General features: G+C 39.5%; 1 pseudogene across 2 annotated transcripts in view, besides 1 other annotated feature; it reads left to right on the top strand.

Annotated features, from left to right (window-relative positions):
* The first annotated feature begins 1,608 nt into the window (after nt 1–1,608).
* The window catches only part of SULT6B2P (sulfotransferase family 6B member 2, pseudogene), a 35,556-nt pseudogene continuing 27,942 nt past the window's right edge, over nt 1,609–9,222 (top strand). For both annotated transcript variants that reach the window (XR_001749042.2, XR_001749043.1), the window contains exon 1: nt 1,609–1,631. The product of XR_001749042.2 is annotated as a sulfotransferase family 6B member 2, pseudogene, transcript variant X1 (transcript). The remainder of the gene's footprint in view (nt 1,632–9,222) is intronic.
* Nucleotides 4,229–4,837: an enhancer, noted in NCBI's record as "NANOG-H3K27ac-H3K4me1 hESC enhancer chr12:22289754-22290362 (GRCh37/hg19 assembly coordinates)". NCBI's record gives its function as "activates a minimal SCP1, AML or CMV promoter by ChIP-STARR-seq in primed H9 embryonic stem cells {active_cell/tissue: H9 hESC(primed)}" and the evidence as "EXISTENCE:reporter gene assay evidence [ECO:0000049][PMID:30033119]".

Raw genomic sequence — 9,222 nt, 5'->3', positions numbered from 1 at the left:
GATATTAGCCCTTTGTCAGATGAGTAGCTTGCAAAAATTTTCTCCCATTTTGTAGGTTGCCTGTTCACTCTGATGGTAGTTTCTTTTGCTGTGCAGAAGCTCTTTAGTTTAATTAGATCCCATTTGTCAATTTTGTCTTTTGTTGCCATTGCTTTTGGTGTTTTAGACATGAAGTCCTTGCCCATGCCTATGTCCTGAATGGTATTGCCTAGGTTTTCTTCTAGGGTTTTTATGGTTTTAGGTCTAACGTTTAAGTCTTTAATCCATCTTGAATTGATTTTTGTATAAGGTGTAAGGAAGGGATCCAGTTTCAGCTTTCTACATATGGCTAGCCAGTTTTCCCAGCACCATTTATTAAATAGGGAATGCTTTCCCCACTTCTTGTTTTTCTCAGGTTTGTCAAATATCAGATAGTTGTAGATATGCGGCGTTATTTCTGAGGGCTCTGTTCTGTTCCATTGATCTATATCTCTGTTTTGGTACCAGTACCATGCTGTTTTGGTTACTGTAGCCTTGCAGTATAGTTTGAAGTCAGGTAGTGTGATGCCTCCAGCTTTGTTCTTTTGGCTTAGGATTGACTTGGCGATGTGGGCTCTTTTTTGGTTCCATATGAACTTTAAAGTAGTTTTTTCCAATTCTGTGAAGAAAGTCATTGGTAGCTTGATGGGGATGGCATTGAATCTGCAAATTACCTTGGGCAGTATGGCCATTTTCACGATATTGATTCTTCCTACCCATGAGCATGGAATGTTCTTCCATCTGTTTGTATCCTCTTTTATTTCCTTGAGCAGTGGTTTGTAGTTCTCCTTGAAGAGGTCCTTCACATCCCTTGTAAGTTGGATTCCTAGGTATTTTATTCTCTTTGAAGCAATTGTGAATGGGAGTTCACTCATGATTTGGCTCTCTGTTTGTCTGTTGTTGGTGTATAAGAATGCTTGTGATTTTTGTACATTGATTTTGTATCCTGAGACTTTGCTGAAGTTGCTTATCAGCTTAAGGAGGTTTTGGGCTGAGACAATGGGGTTTTCTAGATATACAATCATGTCATCTGCAAAGAGGGACAATTTGACTTCCTCTTTTCCTAATTGAATACCCTTTATTTCCTTCTCCTGCCTAATTGCCCTGGCCAGAACTTCCAACACTCTGTTGAATAGGAGTGGTGAGAGAGGGCATCCCTGTCTTGTGCCAGTTTTCAAAGGGAATGCTTCCAGTTTTTGCCCATTCAGTATGATATTGGCTGTGGGTTTGTCATAGATAGCTCTTATTATTTTGAAATATGTCCCATCAATACCTAATTTATTGAGAGTTTTTAGCATGAAGGGTTGTTGAATTTTGTCAAAGGCCTTTTCTGCATCTATTGAGATAATCATGTGGTTTTTGTCTTTGGCTCTGTTTATGTGCTGGATCACATTCATTGATTTGTGTATATTGAACCAGCCTTGCATCCCAGGGATGAAGCCCACTTGCTCCTGGTGGATAAGCTTTTTGATGTGCTGCTGGATTCGTTTTGCCAGTATTTTATTGAGGATTTTTGCATCAATGTTCATCAAGGATATTGGTCTAAAATTCTCTTTTTTGGTTGTGTCTCTGCCAGGCTTTGGTATCAGAATGATGCTGGCCTCATAAAATGAGTTAGGGAGGATTCCCTCTTTTTCTATTGATTGGAATAGTTTCAGAAGGAATGGTATCAGTTCCTCCTTGTACCTCTGGTAGAATTCGGCTGTGAATCCCTCTGGTCCTGGACTCTTTTTGGTTGGTAAGCTATTGATTATTGCCACAATTTCAGATCCTGTTATTGGTCTATTCAGAGATTCAACTTCGTCCTGGTTTAGTCTTGGGAGAGTGTATGTGTCCAGGAATTTATCCATTTCTTCTAGATTTTCTAGTTTATTTGCGTAGAGGTGTTTGTAGTATTCCCTGATGGTAGTTTGTATTTCTGTGGGATCGGTGGTGATATCCCCTTTATCATTTTTTATTGTGTCTATTTGATTCTTCTCTCTTTTTTTCTTTATTGGTCTTGCTAGCGGTCTATCAATTTTGTTGATCCTTTCAAAAAACCAGCTCCTGGATTCATTAATTTTTTGAAGGGTTTTTTGTGTCTCTATTTCCTTCAGTTCTGCTCTGATTTTAGTTATTTCTTGCCTTCTGCTAGCTTTTGAATGTGTTTGCTCTTGCTTTTCTAGTTCTTTTAAGTGTGATGTTAGGGTGTCAATTTTGGATCTTTCCTGCTTTCTCTTGTGGGCATTTAGTGCTATAAATTTCCCTCTACACACTGCTTTGAATGCGTCCCAGAGATTCTGGTATGTTGTGTCTTTGTTCTCGTTGGTTTCAAAGAACATCTTTATTTCTGCCTTCATTTCATTATGTACCCAGTAGTCATTCAGGAGCAGGTTGTTCAGTTTCCAGTGGTTTTGAGTGAGATTCTTAATCCTGAGTTCTAGTTTGATTGCACTGTGGTCTGAGAGATAGTTTGTTATAATTTCTGTTCTTTTACATTTGCTGAGGAGAGCTTTACTTCCAAGTATGTGGTCAATTTTGGAATAGGTGTGGTGTGGTGCTGAAAAAAATGTATATTCTGTTGATTCGGGGTGGAGAGTTCTGTAGATGTCTATTAGGTCCACTTGGTGCAGAGCTGAGTTCAATTCCTGGTTATCCTTGTTGACTTTCTGTCTCGTTGATCTGTCTAATGTTGACAGTGGGGTGTTAAAGTCTCCCATTATTAATGTGTGGGAGTCTAAGTCTCTTTGTAGGTCACTCAGGACTTGCTTTATGAATCTGGGTGCTCCTGTATTGGGTGCATATATATTTAGCATAGTTAGCTCTTCTTGTTGAATTGATCCCTTTACCATTATGTAATGGCCTTGTCTCTTTTGATCTTTCTTGGCTTAAAGTCTGTTTTATCAGAGACTAGGATTTCAACCCCTGCCTTTTTTTGTTTTCCATTTGCTTGGTAGATTGTCCTCCATCCTTTTATTTTGAGCCTATGTGTGTCTCTGCACGTGAGATGGGTTTCCTGAATACAGCACACTGATGGGTCTTGACTCTTTATCCAATTTGCCAGTCTATGTCTTTTAATTGGAGCATTTCGTCCATTTACATTTAAAGTTAATATTGTTATGTGTGAATTTGATCCTGTCATTATGATGTTAGCTGGTGATTTTGCTCGTTAGTTGATGCAGTTTCTTCCTAGCCTCGATGGTCTTTACATTTTGGCATGATTTTGCAGCGGCTGGTACCGGTTGTTCCCTTCCATGTTTAGCGCTTCCTTCAGGAGCTCTTTTAGGGCAGGCCTGGTGGTGACAAAATCTCTCAGCATTTGCGTGTCTGTAAAGTATTTTATTTCTCCTTCACTTATGAAGCTTAGTTTGGCTGGATATGAAATTCTGGGTTGAAAATTCTTTTCTTAGGAATGTTGAATATTGGCCCCCACTCTCTTCTGGCTTGTAGGGCTTCTGCCGAGAGATCCACTGTTAGTCTGATGGGCTTCCCTTTGAGGGTAACCCGACCTTTCTCTCTGGCTGCCCTTAACATTTTTTCCTTCATGTCAACTTTGGTGAATCTGACAATTATGTGTCTTGGAGTTGCTCTTCTTGAGGAGTATCTTTGTGGCGTTCTCTGTATTTCCTGAATCTGAACGTTGGCCTGCCTTGTTAGATTGGGGAAGTTCTCCTGGATAATATCCTGCAGAGTGTTTTCCAACTTGGTTCCATTCTCTCCGTCACTTTCAGGTACACCAATCAGATGTAGATTTGGTCTTTTTACATAGTCCCATATTTCTTGGAGGCTTTGCTCATTTCTTTTTATTCTTTTTTCTCTAAACTTTCCTTCTCGCTTCATTTCATTCATTTCATCTTCCATTGCTGATACCCTTTCTTCCAGTTGATCGCATTGGCTCCTGAGGCTTCTGCATTCTTCACGTAGTTCTCGAGCCTTGGTTTTAAGCTCCATCAGCTCCTTTAAGCACTTCTCTGTATTGGTTATTATAGTTATACATTCTTCTAAATTTTTTCCAAAGTTTTCCACTTCTTTGCCTTTGGTTTGAATGTCCTCCCGTAGCTCAGAGTAATTTGATCGTCTGAAGCCTTCTTCTCTCAGCTCGTCAAAGTCGTTCTCCGTCCAGCTTTGTTCCATTGCTGGTGAGGAACTGCGTTCCTTTGGAGGAGGAGAGGCGCTCTGCTTTTTAGAGTTTCCAGTTTTTCTGTTCTGTTTTTTCCCCATCTTTGTGGTTTTATCTACTTTTGGTCTTTGATGATGGTGATGTACAGATGGGTTTTTGGTGTGGCTGTCCTTTCTGTTTGTTAGTTTTCCTTCTAACAGACAGGACCCTCAGCTGCAGGTCTGTTGGAGTACCCTGCCGTGTGAGGTGTCAGTGTGCCCCTGCTGGGGGGGTGCCTCCCAGTTAGGCTGCTCGGGGGTCAGGGGTCAGGGACCCACTTGAGGAGGCAGTCTGCCCGTTCTCAGATCTCCAGCTGCATACTGGGAGAACCACTGCTCTCTTCAAAGCTGTCAGACAGGGACATTTAAGTCTGCAGAGGTTACTGCTGTCTTTTTGTTTGTCTGTGCCCTGCCCCCAGAGGTGGAGCCTACAGAGGCAGGCAGGCCTCCTTGAGCTGTGGTGGGCTCCGCCCAGTTCGAGCTTCCCAGCTGCTTTGTTTACCTAATCAAGCCTGGGCAATGGCGGGCGCCCCTCCCCCAGCCTCGCTGCAGCCTTGCAGTTTGATCTCAGACTGCTGTGCTAGCAATCAGCGAGACTCCGTGGGCATAGGACCCTCCGAGCTGGGTGTGGGATATAATCTCGTGCTGCGTCGTTTTTTAAGCCTGTCGGAAAAGCGCGGTATTTGGGTGGGAGTGACCCAATTTTCCAGGTGCCATGGGTCACCCCTGTCTTTGACTAGGAAAGGGAACTCCCTGACCTCTTGTGCTTCCCAAGTGAGGCAATGCCTCGCCCTGCTTCAGCTCGCGCACAGTGCGCGCACCCACTGACCTGCGCCCACTGTCTGGCACTCCCTAGTGAGATGAACCCGGTACCTCAGATGGAAATGCAGAAATCACCCGTCTTCTGCGTCGCTCATGCTGGGAGCTGTAGACTGGAGCTGTTCCTATTCGGCCATCTTGGCTCCTCCCCCCCATGTGCCACTCATTTTAAAAGACAACTTTCTTCACTAAAGTTTACCTTTGCCATGAATCAAATGACCATTTATGTGTGTGTCTTTCTCTACACTCTTTATTCTGTTCCGTTGTTCTATATGTGTAGCCTTGAGCTCAGGTCATGCTATCTTAACTACATTTGCTTTGTGGTAAATCTTGAAATCTGATAGTATAAGTCATACAGAATTTTTTCTTCTTTCAGATTTTCTTGGCCTTTTCATTTTCATATAAATGATTGCTTGTCAATTTACACACACACACGCATGCACATGTTGAGATTCTGACCAAGTTAAATTGACTTTTATAAATCAATAAGGTGAATTTTGTCATTTTAATAATATTAACTCATCTGGTACGTGGACATAGTATATGTTTCTCTTTATTTATTTCTATTTCTTTATTTAACTAGTCTTAGTAATACTTTCTGGTTTTCCATGCCTTTCAGTAGCAGATTTATTTTCAGAAAATTTATTTTTTATATTATTGTAAATAGTATTGTTTTTCAAATTTTATTTTTCACTTGATTGTTGCCGGAACACAGAAATACAATTTATTTTCATGTATTGACTCATAATCTAACAGTCATGTTCAATTTATATTTCATTCGAATTGAGATTCTTTGGATTTTCTGCATACATGATGATTCTGAACTTTATTTTTGCCACTGGTGTGAATATTTCTCTTCATTTCTCCCACAGTAGACCTTTATATTTTTTTGTGCTCACTTGAAATGTTGGTCAGTCCTTTGTTGGTATACAATCATTTTAAGGGTTTGACCAGCAAAGATTCAACTCTGGTTCACTGAAATAATTGGGCACTTTGTTGCCCTATCTAACCAAATCCAGAATGTCACAATATTAGTGACAAAAACTACAAATGACTCAGACAAGGGTTTATACACATTAGCCTAAAAATTTATGTTTACAGGAAAGCTCAAGATATTTATTTTCTGGCTTAGGTGTCCTGATTCCCGTGTTAGCTAAAGTACTGCTTGTAAGGTTTGTATTTAGTCATAGATTTATTTGCCAATTTCCAGAAAAAATTATATTTGTCTTTTCTCATTCTATGATTCTCTTTTCATGAAATGCAATACTAGCTACTTCCTCATCTCTGTGTTAATATTAATAAGAAGAAATCTAATTTTTCGAATCATTTCCACAATGACAGAATCCATTACAGCCACTAATAGCCTTTCCTTATCTAGGCCAAAGAATTTGATTAATTTTGTTCCTTAATATAATGATTACATTATGATAGTTTGGTAGCTTTTTATGCAAACCATCCTGAGTGTCCAGTTAGAGGAAATATTTTGTAATGTGTGTTATCAAAATTCAGATATCATTTTCACAGTAGACCTTGGCTTGGTAAGGTTTAAAAACTACTTGCGAAGAATTGCAAAGTGTTCCCCAGTTCGAATGTTAGCTTAGTTATTCTAAGGTTACTTTCACATTGAGCTAGGGTTAAGATTAAAGACCATACTTGCTCTGTGTCTTGTGTAATATCAGTGTTTAGTAAGTACTTTTTGATAGATTTGATGAAAGGTGCCATCCCAGGACCAGTTAAGTATTCTTCATAACTTCAAGGAGGTCCTCTTTTCCACCATGTCTTCAGAAGATCTTCTAAATTCCCTGGTTTTGTTTTGTTTTGTTTTGTTTGTGCAGAAGAAAATGATGTCTTTCTGGTTTCCTATCCAAACTCTGGTACATTTGTTTTAATGCATTTTAAAAAATATAGAAATGCTGTTTTTGTTACTGTAGTAGCCTTGTAGTATAGTTTGAAGTCAAGTAGCATGATGCTTCCAGCTTTGTTCTTTTTGCTTAGAGTTGTCTTGGCTATGGAGGGCTCTTTTTTGGTTCCATATAAAATTTAAAGTAGTTTTCTTCTAATTCTGTGAAGTAAGTCAATGGTAGCTTGATGGGGATAGCATTGAATTGATAAATTGCTTTGGGCAGTATGGCCATTTTCACGATATTGATTCCTCCTATCCATGAGCGTGGAATGTTTTTGCAGTTGTTTGTGTCTTCTCTTATTTCCTTGAGCAGTGGTTTGTAGTTCTCCTTGAAGAGGTCTTTCACATCCCTTGTAAATTGGATTTCTAGGTATTTTATTCTCTTTGTAGCAATTGTGAATGGGAGTTCACTCATGATTTGTCTCTCTGTTTGTCTATTATTGGTATATAGGAATGCTTGTAATTTTTGCACATTGATTTTGTATCCTGAGACTTTGCTGAAGTTGCTTATCAGCTTGAGGAGATTTTGGGCTGAGACGATGGGATTTGCTAAATATACAATCATGTCATCTGCAAACAGGGACAACTTGACTTCCTCTCTTCCTATTTGAATACCCTTTATTTGTTTCTCGTGCCTGATTGCTCTGGCCAGAACTTCCAATAATATGTTGAATAGGAGTGATGAGGGAGGGCATCCTTGTCTTATGCCAGTTTTCAAAGGGAATGCTTCCAGCTTTTGCCTATTCAGTATGACACTGACTGTGGGTTTGTCATAAATGCCTCTTATTATTTTGAGATACATTCCATCAATACCAAAACAGATATATAGACAAATGGAACAGAACAGAGGCCTCAGAAATAATGCCACACATCTCCAACCACCTGATCTTTGACAAACCTGACAAAAACAAGCAGTGGGGAAAGGATTCCCTATTTAATCAATGGTGTTGGGAAAATTGGCTAGCCATATGCAGAAAACTGAAAGAAAACCCTTCCTTACACCTTGTACAAAAATTAACTCAGATGGATTAAAGACTTAAATGTAAGACCTAACGTCGTAAAAACCCTAGAAGAAAACCTAGGCAATACCATTCAGGACATAGGCATGGGCAAAGTCTTCATGATTAAAACACAAAAGCAATGGCAACAAAAGCCAAAATTGACAAATGGGATCTAATTAAACTAAAGAGCTTCTGCACAGCAAAAGAAACTATCATCAGAGTGAACAGGCAACCTACAGAATGGGAGAACATTTTTGCAATCTACCCATCTGACAAAGGGCTAGTATCCAGAATCTACAAATAACTTAAACACATTTACAAGAAAAAACAAACAAACCCATTAAAAAGTGGGTGAAGGATATGAACAGACACTTCTCAAAAGAAGACATTTATGCATCCAAACAACCTATGAAAACACGCTCATCATCACTGATCATTAGAGAAATGCAAATCAAAACCACAGTAAGATACCATCTCATGCCAGTTAGAATGGTGATCATTAAAAAGTCAGGAAACAACAGATGCTGGAGAGGATGTGGAGAAATAGGAATGCTTTTACACTGTTGGTGGGAGTGTAAATTAGTTCAACCTTTGTGGAAGACAGTGTGGTGCTTCCTCAAGGATCTCGAACCAGAAATACCATTTGACCCAGCAATCCCATTACTGGGTATATAGCCAAAGGATTATAAATCATCCTACTACAAAGACACATGCACACATGTGTTTATTGCAGCACTATTCACAATAGCAAAGACTTGGAACCAACCCAAATGCCCATCAATGATAGACTGGATAAAGAAAATGTGGCCTATATACACCATGGAATACTATGTAGCCATAAAAAAGGATGAGTTCATGTCCTTCGCAGGGACATGGATGAAGCTGGAAACCATTATTCTCAGCAAACTAACACAGGATCAGAAAACCAAACACCACATGTTCTCACTCATAAATGGGAGCTGAACAATGGGAACACATGGACACAGGGAGGGGAACATCACACACAGGGGCCTGTCAGGGGGTCGGGGGCTAGGGGAGGGATAGCATTAGGAGAAATACCTAATGTAGATGACGGGTTGTTGGGTGCAGCAAACCACCATGGCACGTGTATACCTGTGTAACAAACCTGCACGTTCTCCACATGTATCCCAGAACTTAAAGTATAATAATAAAAAAAAGAAATGCAATACAAAGAAATACAATAATTTTTATAAAACATTGATTTTAAAAATGTTCCCACTGCTGATTCTAATTTACAACCTTGATATTAGAGAGATAAACAGTGTGCCTTGTTGAAAATTCAGCTGGAAAAATTCAAGCTTACTATACTCTTGTTTCTATTTT

Source organism: Homo sapiens, chromosome 12, assembly GCF_000001405.40.
Source record: "Homo sapiens chromosome 12, GRCh38.p14 Primary Assembly".
NCBI classification, from domain to species: domain Eukaryota; kingdom Metazoa; phylum Chordata; class Mammalia; order Primates; family Hominidae; genus Homo; species Homo sapiens.
The sequence above is the reverse complement of the archived record's forward strand: the minus strand, read 5'-3'. Positions and strand labels throughout refer to the sequence as shown.